This window comes from Homo sapiens, chromosome 6 (genome assembly GCF_000001405.40).
Source record: "Homo sapiens chromosome 6, GRCh38.p14 Primary Assembly".
In the NCBI taxonomy this organism is placed as follows: domain Eukaryota; kingdom Metazoa; phylum Chordata; class Mammalia; order Primates; family Hominidae; genus Homo; species Homo sapiens.
This window is the reverse complement of record NC_000006.12, coordinates 32,304,206-32,328,276: the sequence shown is the minus strand read 5'-3', so window position 1 is coordinate 32,328,276 and position 24,071 is coordinate 32,304,206. Positions and strand designations below refer to the sequence as shown.

At 38.8% G+C, this 24,071-nt stretch overlaps 1 protein-coding gene, 1 long non-coding RNA gene and 1 pseudogene across 8 annotated transcripts in view; 1 reads left to right on the top strand and 2 right to left on the bottom strand.

The window, feature by feature from the left end:
* TSBP1-AS1 (TSBP1 and BTNL2 antisense RNA 1) overlaps positions 1 to 24,071 on the bottom strand; it is a 152,558-nt gene that overhangs the window by 79,454 nt on the left and 49,033 nt on the right. The window lies entirely within an intron of this gene.
* TSBP1 (testis expressed basic protein 1) overlaps positions 1 to 24,071 on the top strand; it is a 79,206-nt gene that overhangs the window by 43,627 nt on the left and 11,508 nt on the right. Inside the window, exons 7-13 of one of the 5 annotated variants that reach the window (XM_017010182.2) lie at positions 3,598 to 3,621; positions 4,663 to 4,686; positions 5,140 to 5,160; positions 5,771 to 5,791; positions 11,863 to 11,883; positions 12,485 to 12,505; positions 13,607 to 13,663. In XM_017010182.2, the coding sequence (XP_016865671.1) occupies positions 3,598 to 3,621; positions 4,663 to 4,686; positions 5,140 to 5,160; positions 5,771 to 5,791; positions 11,863 to 11,883; positions 12,485 to 12,505; positions 13,607 to 13,663 (189 nt within the window). The remainder of the gene's footprint in view (positions 1 to 3,597; positions 3,622 to 4,662; positions 4,687 to 5,139; positions 5,161 to 5,770; positions 5,792 to 11,862; positions 11,884 to 12,484; positions 12,506 to 13,606; positions 13,664 to 24,071) is intronic. The other 4 variants (XM_024446307.2, NM_001286474.2, NM_001286475.2 and 1 more) reach the window with 4 other exon arrangements.
* HNRNPA1P2 (heterogeneous nuclear ribonucleoprotein A1 pseudogene 2) lies at positions 1,756 to 3,079 on the bottom strand (annotated as a pseudogene).

The window sequence follows — 24,071 nt, the reverse complement described above, 5'->3', positions numbered from 1 at the left end:
GACTCTGTCTCAAAAACACACACAAAAAAAAATGAGGCCGGGCGCAGTGGCTCACGCCTATAATCCCAGCACTCTGGGAGGCCCCGTGAGCCAGATCACTTAAGGTCAGTAGTTCAAGACCAGCCTGGCCAACATGATGAAACCGCGCCTCTATTAAAAATACAAAAATTAGGCCCGGCGCACTGGTGGCTCACGCCTGTAATCCAGCACTTTGGGAGGCCAAGGTGGGCAGATCACGAAGTCAGGAGATGGAGACCATCCTGGCTAACACAGTGAAACCCTGTCTCTACTAAAAATACAAAAAAAAAAAAATAATAATAAGTCGGGCATGGTGGCGGGTGCCTGTAGTTCCAGGTACTTGGGAGGCTGAGGCAGGAGAATGGCATGAACCCAGGAGCCAGAGCTTGCAGTAAGCCGAGATCACGCCACCGCACTCCAGCCTGGGTGACAGAGCAAGACTCCGTCTCAAAAAAAAAAACCTACAAAAATGAGCCAGACTTCGTGGCAGGTACCTGTAATCGCTTGAACCTGGGAGGCAGAGGTTGCAGTGAGCTGAGGTCATGCCACTGCACTCCAGCCTGGGCAACAGAGCAAGACTCTGTCTCAAAAAGAAAAAAAAAAAGAAAAAGAAAATTAGACTGACAAAAGTACATATAAGTTTAAGACATTATGAACCTCTAGAAGTGTTTCAAGCATCTACTGTCCCTAAATGAAATGAGAAGGAAGAACAAAGCCTCACTTTACCACTTTATAGCCAATCTCCTGCCTCAGACCAGCAGAAACAGGTCTGAGGCTACAAAGCACAAAGTAAGGCACGTAAGGCCGGACATGCACTGAGCTGTCAGATTTTAGGGCCCCCCATATCCTCTCTGCAGTTACCCTCTTTAAGCCTATCAAGGGAGAACTGAATTCACTTGGTTCTACACATGTTGATTTCTCCATTTTGTGTTCCTTCCGTTTTTTACCACCAGATGAAACTTCAGAAATGACTGGTTAAGTTCCATGTCTATTGTATGATAGCTGCCTTTGGCTTCCTATAGGGCCTGGCATACTTTTCCTCTCTGCTCATTTCTGTCTTGTGTGTGTAGAAACTCACATTTCTTCATTTCTTTTGCTTATTCCTCTATTTAGCTGCTGCTCCACTCCTATAAGGAATGAATAAAGGAGAATACCAAACCCAAAATAGAGAGATAAAGTTCGGAAACTACCCAAAGTTTATAGTGACTTGTCAACAAGGGAAGGGAAGGATATTTGTATGAATAAATGAAAGCTTTCACAGGATGGCAGAAATAGGGAGAAGAAAGGTAAAGGCAGCACAGTTTAAAGAAATTACCAATCCCCTGCAGGATTTCCAGCAGTAACCACTCACTGCAAAAAGGGAAGAGATCAATCATCTCCCTTTCCTGCAGCCTCCTATACTAAGCAGAAGGCAGAATCCCCACAAGGCATGATGGCAGGTATATTCCCCAGCACAGCGCTCTATGCCCCTGACCTAAGAAGGATGTTTCTTCCATTGCCATTTCTGATATTTCCTTTCAGGAAAGTAGTACGAAAACTAGCTCCTCTTTCAGCAGGCTGTACACGTTGATTTATCTTTGTTTTTCAGCTACAGGATCCTCTTGTAAGTTTGACCATTTCCCTTCATGAGTGAAACTCAATTATCTCCAGCAGTGTCTAACATATCTTAAGCCAAAATGTATGCATCCACATTGTGATATGATAATGTTCCAATTTCCTTGGTCCCTTATTTTTCCATTACTCAGAACACAAATATATATTTTTTTCAGTGTCACGATCAGACTATTACATTTAGCAATAAACAGCATGGGTGCAAAAAAAAATCTACATTAAAACCCTTTGTCGGAATGCTTTACACTTTCCACAGAACAGAAACTAAAATAACCTGTTATACAATTAGTCACAAATACAGTCCTCGAGTTTTTTGCCCATACACATGAGTATTTGTCTAAAACATGTCTTCTTTGTACCAGCTAGGCCCTGCCACCACTGTGCTTGGCTGAGTTCACAAATCTGTTATAACCTGTAGCTTCCCTGTCACTTCTCTGGCTCTCCTCTCCTGCTAAGCTTTGTTTCCTAATTAAAATCTTCTGCCACTGCCATAGCTACTGCTGCTACTGGAACCACAATAGCCACTTTGGTTTCATGGTTTGGCAAAGTATTGGCCTCCACCACCATAGAGGCCACAGCTTCTGCCTCCAAAGTTTCCTCCCTTCATGGGTCCAAAATTTGAAGACTGATTGTTGTAATTGCCAAAATCATTGTAGCTTCCACCACCTCCAAAATTGCTCCCATCATTACCAAATCCATTATAGCCATCCTCACTGCCACCATATCCACCACCACCACAGCTGCCACCAAAGCCACCACAACCACTGAAGTTTCCTCCATGATCAAAGTTGTCATTCCCACCGAAACCACCTCCATGACCACCACCTAAGTTTCCAGAACCACTTCGACCTCTTCGGCTGGATGGAGCACTAGCCATCTCTTGCTTTGACAGACTTTCCTAACTTCACAGTTGTGGCCATTCACACTGTGGTATTTCTGAATGACAGTCTTATCCACGGAGTCATGGTCATCAAAGGTTACAAAGGCAAATCCCCTTTTCTTGCAACTGCCTCGGTCAGTCATGTTTTCAATCACTTCAATTTTTCCATACTACTCAAAATAATTTCTTAGGTGATTTCTTCAGTGTCTTCTTTAATGCCACCAGCATATATCTTTTTCACAGTTAAGTGGGCACCTGGTATTTGAGAATCTTCTCTTGAGACAGCTCTCTTTGGTTCCACAGCTCTTCCATCCACCTTGTGTGGCCTTGCATTCACGGCTGCATCCACCTCCTCCACAGTGGCATATGTGAAAAATCCAAAGCCCCTGGAGTGCTTGGGTTTGGATCTCTCATGACCACACTGTCCGGGAGTGTCCCTCACTGCTCAAAATGGCTCCTCAGGCTCTCATCAGTTGTTTCAAAGCTCAACCCTCCAATGAAGAGCTTCCTCAGTTGTTCTGGCTCTTTAGGAGACTCTGACTTAGATAAGACGGCCAGGAGAAGAGAGACTTTAATGATGCTTCTTCCATGGCATCCATGGGCAGAAAGGCATAAATAAATTATTAATAAGTTTCTAGAACATTCACTGACTCGCATAAAAAATAAAGACCTGAGAAAAAAGTTTTTACATGACTCTAAAGAATGTTAGGAACTTTCCATGCAGAAGGAAAAAAAATGACAGAAAAATGATATAGATCCATTTCTGCTTTCTAGATAAGTCATCTATACAGGCAATTAGTCAGTTATTTATTTGTTTCTCTGTGGTGCACTTATCAAAGTCCACTGATGTCTATTGGAACTTGAGTTGCAACATGGAACTTGAAGTTCTATTTTCTCAGCCTTTTGTTTTTCCATTATCCAGAATTCAACCAGCTGATAATTAGTTTTCTGGAAATTTCTAGTGCCTTTGATTAAAAAAAAAAATGTTCAAGCAAGTATATCACTAGTAAATTTACCAATAGAAAAAAAAATGAGTAGGAAAAGAAACAAGAAAGGGGTAACAAAAAGTATCTTTGCTTGTTTTTCAGTCAGATCGCATCCTCACACAATCAGTAAGTCTATGTGTTCATTGAATTCTCTCCTTTAGGACTCGGTCTCTAGTGGAGTCCAAGAGTCTTTATCTGCCCATATTGGGATACAAAGGGCTTGAGATATATCTTGGCCTCTTGCTGTCTCATTATCAAAACCTCTCTGCATTATTCATGATGTACTGGAAAGTTTTAAGACTATCAATTTACAATCCCCTGCAGGATTTCAAGCAGTTACCAGTCACTGCAAAAAGGGAAGAGATAAGTCAGAGCAGAGAAAAAAATTTTACAAAATTTCAAAGCCCATCAACAAGAGACTACCTTAAAAAGGGAAAAAATGGTAGGAGAGAAAGGAGTAGATAAGAAGTTTCTGTAACCCTTTTTCATTTGAACCTCCTGCCATATCTGGTCTCTTTTTTCCACATTTAAATTCCAAAACATCTAAGAAAAATTTGTATCACCTTTTAGAGACTTTAGAGGATTTAAGCCTAAACTTTAAATAACAACTTTAAGTTGTTATTTCCTCCGTGTTTTGCTTTCATGTGACACATCATTCTCTCACCTTTTAAATAACTCTATGGAAAAAATCAAACTTACTATTTTATTAAAAAATAAAGGGCAGGGGAGAAAGTTTATCAGCAGGTCAAAATGATATATTACAAGGGACTTAACAAACTGAAAGACAATTTGAGCAATGGGGAAAGAAAAAGGAGATAATTGTTTCTGGTCTAGTTGCAAGCTGGATTCATTTCACTTGCCATCAGTATGTCCATGTTTTCACCACCGTAGGATTCTGGAATCTCTCCTTTCCCTGGTACAGCTAAGATTTCCAGGCTTGGGGTGCATACTACTTTAACCACTTACTTTCCTATCATCAAAATTCCATGAAGTTATTAATGATTTTTTGAAAGTTCGCATTCTGCTGATTCATATTAAAAATAAATGAATACCAAAGGGAAAGTTTTCCCTATTGTTATAATGACCTACCAAGAAGAAACTCTCTACATAGAAAGGAAAATATCATGGGAGAAAAAACAGTTGCTAAGATACCTCTCTGTTTTTCAGCTGGTCCACCTTCAGCACCCCGCGGTAAGTTCAATTTCTTTTTCTACTCTTTTCTGTTGTTGTTCTTGTTGTTCCCTGCAAGGCTTAGAGACCTGTCTCTACCCTGCTCATTTCTAACTCTGTGTGCAGCTACCTGACTCAAAGCTTCCAGTTTCCTCTGCCTTCTGCTCATCCAGCTTCTCCCTGAGAAAGAAGTTATATTTACATAATTTCAAACATATATTTACTTTGTATCTCCTCTAGAACTATTTAAGTGCTTTAATTACATTACCTCATTTAATCCTTAGAATAATTCCACCAATCCCTTTGTAAGAGATAAGAAACTGAGCCAAATACTTACTCAAGAATACATAGTCATAGAATCATAATTTAGACCCAGAAAGGTGTCCAAGTTTCTCCCCTACACAAATATACCTCCCTAGAGGGAACCTTGTTTCTTTCAAAGAAATCTTCACCAATATCTACTTTGGTTTTTAGGTCCACCCATGGCACCCATAAGTAAGTATAACATCTCTTTTTCTTCTTTGGTTCTCTATGGTCCCCTTCATTTCACTTCTGTCAAAGTGATTTGAGTTTCCCATTCTTCTCTTGCTTCCTTATTACCCTGCTTGCCCTATAATTTTTTTAAAATACTAATTAAAAGTGGGACTAAGCTAGCATTCATCAACAATAAACTGAACAATACTACGAAATAACAAGTAGGAGGAATTTTCAGGGGGGTGGAGAGAGAAAGAGAGAGAGAGATGAAATCCAAAATGATGTCTAAATGGAGAGAAACCTTCAGTGTTCTTTCAAACATTATAGTGCAAGGATCCAGTGGTCTTTTCCCAACACTATGCCCAAAGCTGTTCAGGTCCAATAAGTGGAGAGGGCCTTTAAGGAAACTCTACCTTTGACTTCGTCATTACATCATCACTGCTAAATCTTACATCTAGTTTTGCATTATAAAACTAATCTAAAACCAAATAATCTATAGGGTGGTTTGGAATACCTCCTTCACTGCCCACCCAAGTCCTCCCCTCACAGACTCCAGCAAAATATATTAGATAATACTATGTGTTTTCTATTTGAGAAAAATTAAATGGATTTCTGTTTGCTTATTTTTCAGTAATTTCACAGAGAACCGCAAGTAAGTACTCTACTTCTCAGCTGGTCATATGTGGGGACTTTTCTTATCTTAGTTGTTTCTATTTCTAAGTGCCTCATATTTCTCATATTCATTTGCTTCTACATTACCCAAAGTCTTCAAGATTAGGACTGCAAGTCAACCTTTTTGATTCGTAACTGTAGTATTTCCCATTATTTTAGTTCTAAACTCAGCTTCCAAGGTAACACATACCAACAGTGACTCAATATTTAAACCAGGTCAAGCACTAACAATGATGATATTTAATATAGAATTCGTGAAACCGCCTTTCACACTATGTCCTACCTTTCCAAAATGCAAATTTGGTTCTCATATCTCAGTTACAAATGATTTAAGCAAACCTAACATCGCTGGGATTCCTCAGCCTGAAATTAAATCACACTAATATTAAAAACCAAAGTTCCTGTCAAGGTTAAAAATGCAGATGCCAAAAGAGCCCAGGCAGGTCAGTAAATGAGTGAGATGAGGTGAATCTCCTGGGAACTGTGTAAAACTGGGAGGACACATATAGTCTGAAGAGGGTAGCTGCTGCCTGCTCCAGCCAACCTCTTCATGCAAGAATTCAGATTCAGAGTTGCCAAAGCATCTCACTTAATCCAGATAGTAGGTAAAATTTTCCAAGTTTTAAACATGACAGACATCTGGGTTACTCTAACAGATTGCAAACATACTTACATACTCCCCTCTAGTTCCATCTAAACACACTCTGGATACAGTTTTCATAATAACATTTTACTCATTTCAATAATGTTAGGACAAAGGCATTGGTATTTGAGAGAGGAGAATTGGAGCTATTAACACAGAATTAGCCAGTGTCTCTCCAAAGTCCTCATCCACACATCTTTCTGAAGCCTTAGCAAAGAGGCTGATCGGCTAAGTATTCTCACGGCACAGATAAAAATACAGAGACAATGGTTCCGACCCAGAGATGAGGCTGCAAAATCCATATGCCCATGTTTGGGAATAGGCCCTATAATTGGGCACAGGGACCAATGCCCACCTGAGGTCAGGAGAAGGGATTACTGGTCTCACAGCTAGAAATTACAAGCCAAAATCCAAATTGAAGGCATAGTGTCCTTTTCAGAGAAGTCATCAGAGAGTATGGGCAGGAAAAAGATGTAAAAATCCAAGACCCAATAGATATATAGGGTCTTGGATCCTATATATCATCCTAGTAGAGGGGATGAAAAAAAGCACGCAAAAGTAACTAGGGATTATACCACCTGCTTTTTGGATAGCTAAGTGTTGGCTGGCCAATCCCATTACTGGGTATAGACTCAAAGGAATATAAACCATTCTATCATAAAGACACATGCACAGTTATGTTAAACACAGAACTATTCACAATAGCAAATACATGGAATCAACCTAAATGCCCATCAATGGTAGACTGAATAAAGAAAATGTGATACATATACACCATGGAATACTACGCAGCCAAAAAAAGAATGAGATCATGTCCTTTGCTGGAACACGGATGGATCTAGAGGCCATTACCCCTAGCAAACTAATGCAGGAACAGAAAACCAGATACCACATGTTCTTATTTATAAACGGGAGCTAAATGATGAGAACACATGGACACACAGAGGGGAAAAATAGACACTGGGGCCTGTCAGAGGGTGGAGGGTGGGAGCGGGAGAGGATCAGGAAAAATAACTAGATTTAATATCTGGGTAGAAAAATAATCTGTACAACAAACCCCCATGACACAAGTTTACCTATATAACAACCTTGCACATGTGTCCCTGAATTTAAAATAAAAGTTTAAAAAGTGTTACCTGGCAATATCTATAAATGAAAAATATACAGCCAAGCTTAAGCATAAAAAAGGTGGGTAAGATTTCCAAGGAGCAGAAATTGAATATAGGAACACATTGCAAGAAGAAGCTAAAGTTAAGCTCTTGGTGGGAACAGTGAGGGGATGAAAAAATAGAGATGACAGCTTTGCCTCAGGAACAAAGGTAGGGTTTCAACATCTGCTCCCAAATGACAGCAAAAGCCTCAAGATACAACATGCGGAAAACTGAAATTAGGCCCCTCTGAGTAAAGCCAGTAGCAGAAAATATACTGCCTCCCCATGCACAGAAGCCAAAATATCTTCACCCATCTGCCCCAGGCATGAAAACAGAGCCACCCACACAGGTCCAGAGTTGGATCTGTCCAGGGTGCAGAGCCCTGCTGGAGGTGTGCTACCCATGCAATGTGCATAATATTCCAAGTCAAAACAGCTGAGATCTGGTTAAGTGGCAGTGTACCCAGGAAGTTAGGACAATAGCCACCAAGAAGAGAGCCACAACCCAGGGTATTTATATCATAGAATATCCATGAAAGATAGCCCCCAAGGAATAAGAAACTACTAAAAGTTATGAAATCTATGAGAAAATCCAGCACCATGTGAGTGGTGAGTGATACCTCACAAGCCCCAACAAATTGGAGAATTCCAACCCAGAGAAATATAACTAGAGCAATCTGAAGAAGACTAAAATAAGGAACCTAACAGCACTGAACAAGTCAAACACTAAAGGAAAAAAAAGAAAAAGTCTTCAAAGATATTAATGCATTTTAAAAATATATGTATTCAACAAATATATATTGGCCTATTGTAGGCCAGGCATTATCCTAAGCACTGAAAATATAGCCATGAGCAAGACAAAGTCCTTGCACTTAAGGAGTTCATATGTTGAGATAAAACAGGCAAATAATGCCAAGTAAACATATACTAAATGTCAGGCAGATAAATTCATGTAGAAAAATAAGAAGAGTAACAGACTAAAGAAAGATGGTATAGAAGGGGGAGTGTGCTTCAGGCAAAAGGAACAAGTACAACATGCACAGGCCTGCTATGGAGGTGCAAAACAGCCAGCCAGGCTAGAAAGAAGGAGGCAGAGCAGGAGGTAGGGCCAGAGCGACAAGAGCCAGATTATGTCGGGCCCTGCAGTCCTTAATAAAAAATTGCAGATTTCATTCTAGGTGTCATGAGAGGCAACTGAAGGGCTTGAACAGGGAAATGATAGGGCCCACTTTATAATTTTAAAAGATCACTCTATTATTGTGGAGGATTAACTGGGGTGAGAGTGAGGGCTCAAGAGGGCAAGTAGGAAGACCAGTTAAGAGGCCTGAAACTAAAGGTGAGTGTGGCAAGGAGAGAGTGATCAGAGTGGAAGTGGGAAGAAGGTCTTCAGATTTTATTTATTTTGGGGGCAAAGCCAACAGGGCCTGCTGTTCGACTGAATGTGATTTTAAGGGAAAAAGAAGACACCAAGGGTTACTCCTAGATTTGGGGTCTAAGAAACTTGACGAATGAGACTATTTATTCATTTAGGTAGCGGAGAAGAGCAGATTTATAGGATGCTATTGTGAGTTCAGTTTTGCATATGTTAGGTTCTAGATGCCTGGGATATTTAGGACTAATTAATTAAATAATCTGACCTTAGCAGGCTTCAAGCATGTTTTCTGGAAAATATCTCCTCTCTGTCCCTTAATGATGCATTAGAACCCATAATTTTATCTTTTTTATCTTTGTAAATAACAGCTTTATTGAGATGATATTCACATATGACACAATTCACTCATTTAAAGTGTGGAATTTAATGCTTTTTAGTATATTCACTGGGTTGTGCAACCATCACCACAATGAATTTTAGAACATTCTCATCACCCCCCAGAAAAACTCTGTTTAGCAATCACTTCCCACTATCCCCCAACCCAAAACCCTCTCCACACCATAGCCCCAGGCAACCACTAATCTTCTTTCTGTCTCTATAGATTCAGCTGTTCTGGACATTTCATATAAATGGAATCAAACAATAGGAGGTCTTTTGTGCCTGGCTTCTTCCATTTAGCATAAGGTTCACCAGGTTCATCCACATGGTAATATGCAGCAGTACTTCAGTTCTTTTTATGGCCAAATAATATTTCATTATGTCTTTGGTTGGCTTTTTTTAGCTTTCCTTTATTTACTTGTAAGGAAATATTATGATAAGTAGTATCAACTTGCTTTCTTTATTTTTATTTAAGTTTTAAGTTCAGGGATACATGTGCAGTTTGTTATATAGGTAAACTTGTGTCATGCAGGTTTGTTGTACAGATTATTTCATCACCCAGGTATTAAGCCTAGAACCCCTTAGTTATTTTTCCTGACTGTCTACGTCCTCTCACCCTCCACCCTTCAATAAGCCCCAGTGCCTGTTGTTTCCTTCTGTGTCCATGTGTTCTCATCATTTATCTCCCATTTGTAAGTGAGAACATGTGGTATTTGGTTCTCTCTTCCTGCATTAGTTTGCTAAGGATAACGCCCTCCAGCTCCATCCATGTTCCTGCAAAGGACATGATCTTGTTCCTTTTTATGGCTGCATGGTATTACATGGTGTATATGTACATTTTATTTATCCAGTCTATCGTTGACGGGCATTTAGGTTGATTCCATGTCATTGTTACTGTGAATAGTGCTGCAATAAACACACGTGTGTTTCTTTATGATAGAACAATTTTTATTACTTTGGGCATATAGCCAGAAATGGGATTGCTGGGTCGAATGGTAGCTCCGTTTTGGGGTCTTTGAGGAATTGCCACACTGTTTCCCACAATGGTTGAACTAATTTACGTTGCCACCAACAAGGTAAAACTGTTCCTTTTTCTCCACAGCCTCCCCAGTATCTGTTATTTTCTGACATTTTGATAATGGCCATTCTGCCTGGTGTGAGATGGTATCTCATTGTGGTTTTGACTTGCATTTCTCTAACAATCAGTGATGTTGAGCTTTTCTTCATATGTTTGTGAGCTGCATGTACGTCTTCTTTTGAAAAGTGCCTATTCCCTTTTTTTGCCAACTTTTTAATGGGATTGTTTTTGTCTTGTAAATTTGTTTAAGTTCCTTACAGGCGCTGGATATTACACCTTTGCCAGATGCATAGTTTGCAAAAACTTTCTCCCATTCTGTAGGTTGCCTATTTACTCTGTTGACAGTTTCTTTTGCTGGGCAGAAGCTCTTTAGCTCAATTAGATCCCATCTGTCAATTTTTGCTTTTGTTACAGTTGCTTTTGTTGTCTTCATCATGAAATTTTTGCCCATTCCTATGTCCAGAATGGTATTGCCTAGGTGGTCTTCCAGGGTTTTTATAGCTTTGGGTTTTACACTTAAATCTTTAAACCATCTTGAGTTAATTTTCGTATGTGGTGTAAGGAAGGAGTCCAGCTTCAATCTTCTGCATATGGCTGGCCAGTTATCCCAGTATCGTTTATTGAATAGGAAGCCCTTTCCCCATTGCTTGTTTTTCTCAGCTTTGTTAAAGATCAGATAGTTGTAGTCATGTGGCCTTATTTCTGGGCTCTGTATTCTGTTGCATTGATCTATGTGTCTATTTCCTACTAGTGCCATACTGTTTTGCTTACTGTAGCCTGGTAGCATACCATAATTTTCTAATCATGTTAAATTATTAAAAACACTCAGGCCAACCCCTCTTAAAACCCTCTCCTCTCCTAGTGGCCAGTCTCAGGCACACTGACTCAGAATAGGGAGGAGAAATTTTTTTGTATTTTTAGAACATCACAGTGTTCGCCAGGATGGTCTTGATCTCCTGACCTCGTGATCCGCCTGCCTCGACCTCCCAAAGTGCTGGGATTACAGGTGTGAGCCAAGGCGCCTGGCCTACCCTACTCATTTCTAACTCTGTGTGCAGCTACCTGACTCAAAGCTCCCAGTTTCCTCTGCCCTCTGCTAATCTAGCTTCTCCCTGAGAAGGAAGCTTACATTTACATGATTTCAAACACATATGTACTTTGCACCTCCTATAGAATTATATAGGTGCTTTAATTACATTATCCCATTTAATCCTTAGAATCACTCCACTAACCCCTTTGTAAGAGATAAGAAACTGACCCAAATACTTACCCAAGAATGCAGTCATAAAGAATTGGAGCTTTTAACAGAGAATTAGCCATTGTCATCCAGAGCTGTGTGACTACCAAGATTCTCCCCAACACAAATATCTCTCCCTAGAAGGAAACTTGCTCCTTTCAAACAAATCTTCACTGATATCTAATTTTTTTAGGTCAGCTGGCAGCACCTATAAGTAAGTATTACATGTCTTTTTCTACTTTGGTTCTCTTTGGTCCCCTTCACTTCACTTCTGTCAAAGTGATTTGTGGTTCCCATTATTCCCTTGCTTCCTTATTACCCTACATGGTCTATATTACAGAGAATCTTTTTAAACACTAATTAAAAGAGGGACTAAGCTAGGATTCATCAGTAATAAACTGAACAATATTATGAAATAACACGTAAGCAGAATTATTGAGAGATGAAATCCATAATGATGTTTAAATGGAGAGAGGCTTTCAGTGTTCTCTCAAACATTATAATGCTATTCAAAGGAAACAGAAAGATATGGCAGTCTCTACCCGAGACTATACCCAAAGCTGTTGGGTCCAGTAAATGAAGAGGGCCTTTAAGGAAACCCTACCTTTGATTTCATCACATCATCACTGCCTAATCTTATATCTAGTTTTGCATTGTAAAACTAATCTAAAACTAATCTATAGGGTGGTTTGGAATGCTTCCTTCTTTGCCCACACAAGTCCTCCCCTCACAGACTCCAACAAAATATGTTAGATAATGCTATGTTTTCTCCATTTGAGAAAAATTAAATGGATTTCTTTTTGCTTATTTTTTAGTAATTTCGCAGAGAACTGCAAGTAAGTTCTTTATTTCTCAGCTGGTCATATGTGGAGATTTATGTTAGATGTTTCCACTTCTAAGTATCCAAAAGATTGAGACTCATATTTCTCATATTCATTTGCTTCTACATTACCCAAAGTCCTCCAGATTAGGACTGCAAGACAAACTTTTTGATTCATAACTGTAATATTTCCCATTATTTAGGTTTTTTTGTTTTGTTTTGTTTTGAGACAGAGTCTCACTCTGTCACACAGGCTGGAGTGCAGTGGCGTGATCTAGGCTCACTGCAACCTCCACCTGCCGAGTCCAAGCAATTCTCCTGCCTGAGCCTCCCAAGTGGCTAGCAATACAGGTGCAAGCCACCATGCCCAGCTAATTATTGTATTTTTAGTAGAGACAGGGTTTCCTCATTTGGCCAGGCTGTTCTTGAACTCCTGACCTCAAGTGATCCGCCCGCGTTGGCCTCCCAAAGTGCTGGGTTTACAGGTGTGAACCACCACGCCCAGCCCCATTATTTTAGTTCTAAACCCAACTTCCAAGGTAACACATACCAACAGTGACTCAATTTTTAAACCAGATCAAGCGTTGACCATGATGATATTTAATATAGAATTCGTGAAAGCACCTTTCACACTGTGTCCTAGTTTTCCAAAATGCAAATCTGGTTCTCATATCTCAGTTACAAATGATTTAAGCAAACCCAATATCAGCTGAGATTCCTCATCCTGAAATTAAATCACATTAATATTAAAACCCAAAGTTCCTGTCAAGGTTAAAAACGCAGATGCCAAAAGAGCCCAGGCAGGTCAGTAAATGAGCGAGTTGAGGTGAGTCTCCTGGGAACTGTGTTAAACTGGGAGGACACGCATAGTCTGAAGAAGGTAGCTGCTGCCCAGCTCCAGCCAACCTCTTCATGCAAGAATTCACATCTAGAGTTGTCAAAGCATCTCACTTAATCCAGATAGTAGGTAAAATTTTCCAATTTTTAAACATGAAAGACATCTATGTTATTCTAACAGATTTCAAATATGCTTATATATCCTCCTCCAGTTCCTTCTAAACACACTCTGGATATAGTTTTCATAATAACAACATTTTATTAATTTCAATAATGTTAGGACAAAGACATTGGTATTTGAGTGAAGAGAAATGGAACTGTCAACAAAGAATTATAAGTGAGTGTCTCTCCAAAATCCCTATCCACATACCTTTCTGAAGCCTGAGCAAAGAGGCTGATCAGCTAAGTATTCTCACTGCACAGATGAAAATACATACTCAGTGGTTGAGACCCAGAAATGAAGCTGGAAATTCCAGATGTCTATGTTTGCACATGGGCCATATAATTGGGAACAGAGACCAAGGCCCACCAAAGTTCAGGAGAAGGGATTATTGGTCTCACAGCTAGAAATTACAAGGCAGAACCCAAATTGAATGCATAGTGTCCTTTTCAGAGGAGTCATCAAAGAGGATGGGCAGGGAAATAATGTAAAAATCCAACACCCGAGGGGTAGGGAGAAAGAAAAAAGGAATGCCAAAGTAACTAGGGTTTATAACACCTCATTTTTGGCTGGCTAAGTCTTGGCTGGAAATATTTTTAAATGAAAAATGCACAGTCATACCTAAGCATAAAGAAGGAGGGTAAGAGTGATTTCCAAGGAGCAGAAATGGAATATAGGAACACATATAAAGAAAGGAAAGCTAAAGTTAAGCTCTTGGGAGGAATGGTGAGGGGATGAGGAAACAGAGGTAGCAGCTTTGCCTCAGGAACAAAGGTAGGGTTTCAACACCTGATCCTAGATGGTGGACAAAGCCTCAAGATACAACATGTAGAAAACTGGAATTCCACCACTTGGAGTAAAGCCAGGAGCAGAAAACACGCTGCCTCCCCACGCGGAGAAGCCAAAATATCTTCACCCATCTGCCCCAGGCATGAAAACAAAGCCATCCACACAGGTCCAGAGTTAGATCTGTCCAGGGTGCAGAGCCCTGCTGGAGGTGTGCTACCCATGCAGTGTGCATAATATTCCAAGTTAAAACAGCTGAGATCTGGTTCAGTGGCAGTGTACCCAGGAAGTTAGGACAATAGCCACCAAGAAGGGATCCACAACCCAGGGTATTTATATCATAGAATATCCATGAAAGATAGCCCCCAAGGAATAAGAAACTACTAAAAGTTATGAAATCTATGAGAAAATCCAGCACCATATGAGTGATACCTCACAAGTCCCAACAAATTGGAGAATTCCAACCCAGAGAAATATAACTAGAGCAATCTGAAGAAGACTAAAATAAGAAACCTAACAGCATTGAACAAGTCAAACACTAAAGGAAAAAAAAGAAAAAGTCTTCAAAGATATTAATGCATTTTAAAAATATATGTATTCAACAAATATATATTGGCCTATTGTAGGCCAGGCATTATCCTAAGCACTGGAAATATAGCCATGAGCAAGACAAAGTCCTTGCACTTAAGGAGTTTATATGTTGAGATAAAACAGGCAAATAATGCCAAGTAAACATACAGTAAATGTCAGGCAGATAAATTCATGTAGAAAAATAAGAAGAGTAACAGACTAAAGAAAGATGGTATAGAAGGGGGAGTGTGCTTCAGGCAAAAGGAACAAGTACAACATGCACAGGCCTGCTATGGAGGTGCAAAACAGCCAGCCAGGCTAGAAAGAAGGAGGCAGAGCAGGAGGTAGGGCCAGAGCGACAAAAGCCAGATTATGTCGGGCCCTGCAGTCCTTAATAAAAAATTGCAGATTTCATTCTAGGCATCATGAGAAGTAACTGAAGGGCTTGAACAGGGAAATGATAGGGTCTACTTTATAATTTTAAAAGATCACTCTATTATTGTGGAGGATTAACTGGAGTGAGAGTGAGGGCTCAAGAGGGCAAGTAGGAAGACCAGTTAAGAGGCCTGAAACTAAAGGTGAGTGTGGCAATGAGAAGAGTGATCAGAGTGGAAGTGGGAAGAAGGTCTTCAGATTTTATTTATTTTGGGGGCAAAGCCAACAGGGCCTGCTGTTCGACTGAATGTGATTTTAAGGGAAAAAGAAGACACCAAGGGTTACTCCTAGATTTGGGGTCTAAGAAACTTGACGAATGAAACTATTTATTGATTTAGGTAGTGGAGAAGAGCAGATTTATAGGATGCTATTGTGAGTTCAGTTTTGTGTATGCTTGGTTCTAGATGCCTGGAACATTTAGGACTAATTAATTAAATAATCTGACCTTAGCAAGCTTCAAGCATGTTCTCTGCCATGTGTCTCCTTCCTATCATTTAATGATGTCTTAGAACCCATAATTTTCTAGTTATGCTAAATTATTTAAAATGCTTAAGCCATCCCCTTTAAAACCCTCTCCTCTCCTAATGGCCCGTCTCAGGCACACTGACTCAGAATGGGGAGGAGAAATACAATGTGCTTCCCCTTCCTGTCCACTCTCCTTGTTGCTATAATTCCCACCGTTGTTATAATTCCCACTGTTGAGGCTGAGAGGATGGATTTGGGGCATGCAATCTCCTTCCTCTGTTAGTTGTAGGTTCTTTTCTCTGAGAACCTGAGACTGACTGTCCTTTGATGTCATCTAGAGCAGACACCCAAATGTCTTGTACAATACATATTCTAGTTCTTTGGAGGAACATACAAGAACTCGACCATGCCTAGTCCCTGATGTGGGAGTACTGACTCTAGTCTTGCCAATTCCAGAGCCCCTCAACTCCCTCTCGAGCAATACACTTCATTGCTCGTACTGCAGAGATGCCCTTACCAAGTAGGCCACCCACTTGAGTGACATACTAGCAAGAAGGCTCAAGCCAGGATGTATTTTGCACTGCCCACTGAACCCTCAGGAGGCTCAAGAATCCTTATCACAGAACAAGGACACTCTGCACTACTGTCTCTCTCCAATTTTATTTTCCTTCATTCAGATAGGCACAAAACAAATCAACAAATCCACTATTCAACCAGGAGATGGGTTGCCACACATCCTTTCTCACAGATACCCCCAATCACTGTAAGCAAATCTCAAAGTGCTACTCATTTGCCTTCAGAAAAAGAAAGCGCTATTCTTCCTCCCCTACAACACCATTCCTTTGTTAACTACTCACAACTCTAAAGACTCTTAAATCTCCTGCCCTTTACAGTTGTTTGCTTATGTTGTCTTGGAAAAAGGGTGACACTTGAGATAGGAGAGCTAATTTGGCCATCATGTCAAGGCCGGCGAGCAGCACCTCTGCACTGCACAGCCTCAAGAATCCTTTCCCTTTTAATTATGGAGCTGGCAATGCTGCAATCCCTCCTGAGGGCTTGTCTCACCTCAGTTTGCTGAGGAGGGTAATGGGAAGTTATAACCTCTTTTTCCTCAGCTTTGTGATCCTACTTGTCAATTTGGGAGTAACAAGAAAAATCCCACTAAACATTCTGCCCCCCATCCAAGCATATACTCTATATCAAAAGGCAATTAAATATTTGAGTCTGAAGATTTAGGGAGAGATTGGGTGGGAAATAAATTAGACAGTAATCAGCATATAGGTAACATTTAAGACGATTGGACTAAATTAGATAATCAAAGGTATATGTAAAAATGAAGGGGTAAGGATTAATCAGTTTTAGAAGTTTAGAATGAGAAAAATCTAACTATGCATATAGAGAAGTAGTGAGCAGGGAGAAAGAAGGAGAACCAGTAAAGGGGGGGTCTCGCAGCACTCAAGAGAAGATAGTATTTCAATATGGAAAAAATAAACAACAGCATCAAAAACAGCTAAGCAATGAATTTTTGGAGTAAGAACTGACAAGGAATTTTGCAAAATGAATGTCATAAGTAACCTTGATAAGATAGGAGGGAAGAAATGCCTAAATGGAGGAGGTGAAGGAGATAATAAAATTTTAAACGGTAAGGCAGCTGATACGGCATATGACAGCTAGTACAGCATGAAAAGGCCACGAAAGGCTGGAGTTCTGATAGGTTGTGGCTTACCTATTGGGGAATAAAAGAAAGACTATCCTTTCTAAAAAGATTAAAAATATATATATATATATATGTATATATATTTGAGAGATAGTTTGAAGAAAGAACAGGCAGATTTAAAAAAGAACCAAGCTGAAACCTTGAAAATAAGAAAGTTATTAGAATTGAAACAATGATTAGATAATATATAAATTCTAATGTAACTATATGTAAATAATATTTAAATATTATTAATCACAGTTTAAAAGAGTAAACTGGAAGACAGAACTGAGGAAATCTCAGTTCAAAATAGTACATGGAAAATATTGAAAATCTCAGCTCAAAATAATACACAGAAGATATTGAAAATATGAAAAAGAAGAGCTGTAAATAGAATGAGGTCAGGTGTAATGGAATTTGATAAGAGAGAATTAAAAGAATAAATGTCAGGTAATAATTTTAAATGTAATAATTAATAACATTCCAGAAGAAAAGAGACATAAATCCTCAGATCATAATGGTCCACTGAAAGCTGAAATTAGATAACTTTAAAACACACAGACAGATATATACACACACACACACACTTACATGTGCCAAAACTCATCGTAGTAAGCTGACAGACATTAAAAAGCAAATCATAAAGACAACCAGAGAAGCAGATCACCTGCAAAAAATCATGTTAACACTAGACATCTCATTAGCAATAATATGTGCCAGAATACAACAGAACAAGAATGAAATCCAAACAAGAATGAGATCCTATCATTTGCAACAACCTGGATGGAAATGAAGGTCATTATGTTAAGTGAAATAAGCCAGGCATAGAACCACAGACTTCACATGTCCATACTCATTTGTGGGAACTAAAAATTAAAACATTGAACTCATGGAGATAGAGAGTAGAATGATGGTTACCAGAGCCTGGGGAGGGTAGTCAGGAGAGAGAAAAATTGGGAATGGTTAATAGGTACAAAAATAGTTAGATAGAATGGATAAGATCTAATATTTGATAGCACAACAGGGTGACTATAGTCAAAGGAAATTTATTGTACATTTTGAAACAACTAAAAGAATATAATTGCAATGTTTGTAACACAAAGAAATGATAAATGCTTAAGGTGATATTCAGTTAACCCTGATGTGATTACTACACATTATTACACATTGTATGAGTGTACCAAAATATTTCATGTACCTACTTGCACCTACTATATACCCATAAAAATTAAAAATAAAAAAATTTTAAAAAGAATACAACAGAACAATATCATCAAAAGACTGAAGGAAAATTACTATAAACCCATAAGATACAATCAGCAAAATTATCATTTATGAGTGAGACTGAAATGAAGTCATTTTGTATATTCAAGAACATAGAAACTCATTAAACACAGGTCCCCAGTGAAAGAATTATCAAAGGGACATACTTCAGGGAGTTTACTTTTGAGTAAAAACTCAAAAAGAAGTTAGAACCAAGAAACATATGTAAGAAAACAAATCAACAAAACATGACAGTAAATCTAAAATGTTGACTATAAAGAAAAAAAAGAGAAGGAAGAGAAGAAGGAGAAGGAAAAGCAGAAAGAGGCTGAGCACAGTGGTTCACACCTATAAGCCCTGCACTTTGGGAGGCCAGGGCAGGTGGATTGCTTGAGCTCAGGAGTTGGAGACCAGGCTGGGCACCATGGTGAAATCCTGTCTCTACAAAAAATACAAACATCAGGTGAGTGTGGTGGTGCATGCCTGTAGTCACAGCTACTCAGTAGGCTGAGGTGGGAGGATTGCTCGAGCCTGGGAGGTCAAAGCAGCAGTAAGCCGTGATCATGCCACCGCACTCCAGCCTAGGAGCAAGACCCTGTCAAAAAAAAAAAAAAAAAAGCAGGAAGAAAAGAAGGAGAAGGAGAGAGTGAAGGAGAAATATATTAGTGTGCTTTAAAATGAGTAGACCTAAAGCATTAGGGAAAAAAACCTTAGAGACAAGGCTAATGATTATGAACTAAGATAATTTGACAAAAGGTCAGATGTACTGATTAACTTTTCATCTTATTAAATATATACATTTGAATATTTATGGCAAAAATAAAAGACAACTATTAATATAATAGAAATGTGACATACATCTTCTGAACCCATAGGGAAAATAAAAAGAAGAAAGAAAACTATATTAGTCCACAAGAAAGCAAGAAAAAAGAAAAAGAGAAAGCAAATAAAAAGCAAAATTTTTTTTTTTTTTTTTTTGAGACGGAGTCTCGCTCTGTCGCACAGGCTGGAGTGCAGTGGCGGGATCTCGGCTCACTGCAAGCTCCGCCTCCCGGGTTCACGCCATTCTCCTGCCTCAGCCTCCCAAGTAGCTGGGACTACAGGCGCCCGCCACTACGCCCGGCTAATTTTTTGTATTTTTAGTAGAGACGGGGTTTCACCGTTTTAGCCGGGATGGTCTCGATCTCCTGACCTCGTGATCCGCCCGCCTCGGCCTCCCAAAGTGCTGGGATTACAGGCGTGAAAAAGCAAATTTTTTTAAATGAGGGTTAAAAAAGTCTAAATATGTTGCTTAGCACAATATTATACAATAGTAGATTAAACTCACAGATTAAAAGCTAGAAACTCTCAGATGTAATTAAAAGAATTAAATTTTTTTAATTTTTCTATTTTCCTATAAAAAAATAAGAAAAATAGCTAAACTCTATTAAGAAATATACCTAAAATAAGGTGACACACAGAAAAATTTAAATGAAGGAATTTTAAAACATACCAGGCAATTGGCCAGGTGCGGTGGCTCATGCCTGTAATTCCAGCGCTTTGGGAGGCCAAAGCGGGTAGATCACTTGAGGTCAGGAGTTCGAGACCCACCTGGCCAACATGGTGAAACCCTGTCTCTACTAAAAATACAAAATTAGCCAGGCATGGTGGCACATGCTTGTCATCCCAGCTACTTGAGAGGCTGAGGCTGGAGAGTCACTTGAACCTAGGAGGCAGAGGTTGCGGTGAGCCGAGATTGCACCATTGCACTCCAGCCTAAGTGACAAGAGCGAAATTCTGTCTCAAAAAAAAAAAAAACCAGGCAATTAACAACAAAACAAAACTTGATATAATTGTGCAAATATCAGATAAAATATAAGTGAAAGTTGTGAGCTTATAGCATAGCCTTTGAAATACATAAAACAAAAACTGACAAAATAGCAAAGACATCTGTAACTAAATAAAGATATTTTAATAATATTTCTCTCATAAAATAAACAGACAAAAATTAGTAAGGCTAGAGAGGCTTTGACATAATTTTAGAAAGCTTTATCTAGTAATGTACACTGAACATTCCACCAAGCAAGCACAGATGGAAAAGATTACCTTGACCACCAATTCCTTCAACTAGAGCAAGCCTCAACTAATTTCAAAGTACACTTCAACATAATATAAATCACATTTTCTGAGCACAAGGCAACAAAACAGAAATAAATAACAAAAAATATTAACATATACATATTTAGAAACAAAAAAGCATACATCCAAATAATCCACAGGTTACAAACAAAATTGTGAGAGAAATTACAGAATATATAGAAATAAGTGAGTATAAAATCATTACTTGTCAAAACACTTAGGATACAACCAAAATATCATTTAGAGAGAAATTATTATGGTAAATGGTTTTAATAGAAATTATTCATTAATAAAAATTGATGAACTAAACATGAGCTCAAGATGATTAAAAAAGGAAAAATCTCAAGAGTAGGACACAATAATAAAAATGTCCTACTTTTATTAGGCAAAAATTAATGAAATGAAAAGTATTTAAAAATAACAGAATAATTTTGATTATTTTGAAACAAAATTAAAGAAAAGGAAAAGCACTAACAATACAAGGAACAAAATAGAAATGTGGAGAGAAAGCAAAATTTCCTCAAAATCATAAGAAAATGCACTAAAAAAATGGAAATACTGCAAAATGAATACTTTGTTAGCCTAGCCAAATCATCTATTTTGCCTGAGCACTTGACATTAAACATGACAGTCAGAAAAACCTTGTATCATGAGATAAACTGAGGATGGCAGGAGGTGAAAAAAGAAGGAAAGAAAACCAGAAGGAAGGGAAGGAGAGAAGGAGGGAGGGAGGGACAGACAACTTGCTTTATATGTTCTTAAATTGAATAATAGTTCCATTTAGCACTGCAACCTAAAATAAAGGCTTAAGTTCATATGCTTTACATTGCTGGCTTCCTAATGGAAACAATTTTAGTGCTGATTTTTACAATATTGATACACATAAATGTAAGTAACCAAACCCAGGTTTGGCTGCTTGCAGCTGAAAAGCCAGACATGAGAGACAAGGGTTGGTGGGATGAAAAGCAGATTATATTGGAGAGTCAGCAAACCGAGAAGATGGAGAACCAGCATTCTAAAGTACCACCCTTCTAATGTCTTTCAGGCTGGCTGGAGGGTTTCTATGGGAGGGGGGATATGGGGAAATTATGCGCAGGAGTTAGAATCAAGAGATGACTGAGGAACACAGAGATCTGGATGCCAGCAAGAGTCAGAGGAGGTTGGGAACGTCTTTGTCCTTGGTCAGGTCACAATGCTCCCGTAAATCTTTAACAAAACATAATTAGTTGTTTACATAATTCCCCCTTAGTCGTACAGTTAGTTTCAAAAATTCCATGATTGCTGTTTTTGCATTTTATCTTAGTGTTCTAAAATTGTCCTAACTTACATGCAGGAATGGGTGAAGGTCCTTTAAACAAAAAAAGAGTTCATGTTAGTTATTTTGCTGTTTCACTGTCATACAAATGTGTTATGACCCTTGCCAATATATAATTATGATGGAGAATTATTTTTCCACCAATGAGAATAATTGGCAAACTGACCAACTTTATAGATTATGCCCCTTAAACTCCTGCTATGTCTCTTATTAAGTGAGCCAGTTCTTCTGAAGACAGGACTTGCTTGCAAGCACTGCAACTTAAAAAAGAAAAGAAAAATGTTTCTCAGTTCCAATTTGCCTCCAGTTTTTATTGACAATACAGACCTTTAAAAAACATATGACCTGGCCAGGCGTGGTGGCTCATGCCTGTAATCCCAGCACTTTGGAAGGCCAAGGCAGGAGGATTGCCTGAGGTCAGGAGTTCGAGACCAGCCTGGCCAACATGGCAAAACCCCATCTCTACTAAAAATACAAAAATTAGCTGGGTGTGGTGGCACACACCTGTAATCCCAGCTACTTGGGAGGCTGAGGTAGGAGAATCGGGCTGCTTTTCTTCATGGCCCAATAACGAGATGCAGATGAACTGAGAAAGAAGACAGTTTTTATTTATATAAGTAGGTACAGAGAGAAGGCCTGGAAATTTTTGCCAGACCAACTGAAAATTACAAAGTTTTCCAGAGCCAATATACCTTCTAAGCTATATGTCTACGTGTAAGTGTGCATTCATCTAAAGACATAAGTCATTAACTTCTTCTAATCTGTGACTAAGATGTGAGTCCTGAAGGCTTTCCTCTAGAGCTTCAGTAAATTTACTTAATCTAAATGGGTCCAGGTGCTGGAGTGATTACCCTTATCTTGTCTCCTGCTAAATATGGAGTTCCTTCAGAAGACCCCCAATAAACTTGTTTGTGAAGGCCTGGGGAGTTTCTTCAGACCCCCCAATAAACTTGTTTTAATCCTAAACGGGTCCTGTTAAGAATTCCTTCGTAATCTTGTCATGCTTCAAGGCCCAGGAAAGGCCTAGGCAAACTCTTGGTGGGCTTGTTACATTCTAGCCTGGCTCTATCAGCTTTCAACATTTAACTTAACCACTCAGTCAGTGCTGAAACAGTTGTTATGGAGGCCTGCGTTAGCGAGACCTGCCCTGCCACAGTAAGGCAAAGAGTAAGTAAACTTAGTAATGGAAATCTAGAAGGAGAATACAATGAATGGTGAAGAAGAGAACAGATATTTTGAGATTAGAGACTGAAATAGGAAAAAAAGTAAAAGAAGCAAAACTTAAAATAAGTATTACTAACTCTTGAAGAGTTTTAAATTCTCATAAAAACTGAAAAGAAAAAGAAAAGGTGCTAAACTCAACTACATTTTAATTACAAATAAACTTTCTGTACTGTAAAAAAAATACAGTGAGAGCTGGTATAATGGTAGAGATTTGAAAGGAAGAGAAAACATGAAAAGACAAAAAAGACGATGAAGAGAGAACATAAATTAGTAACCTTTAACTATTAGCCAGTCTCCTGAAAGAATGTGACCTAGTTTAAGAATGTTTAAAAAAATATTTTATTTCATTAGAAAAAGTGGCCTTCACTTATATAACCCATCATACGTGCCATTCAAAATGGCCTGGATATTTAAGTTATTAAAGTGGAGTTAAAATTGACTTAATAAGAGATAGCATATTCCTAGAAGATTTAATGTTTCCCAAAGGTCTGTTTTCTGGTGTTCCAAGTGGATTTTCAATAGGAACTCAATACATAATTTAAAAAAAAACTGATTTGTTTTATTTTATTTTTAGCAATTGGTCCAATAGCAACCAGTAAGCTCCTACTGTTTTTCTCAGTTTCCTCTGGTCTTTTGTAGCATCTCGATTCCTTTATTTGCACTGACACTTTTGTTGTTTTTGGTTTCTATTTTGGTTTAGTTTGGGTCTTTCT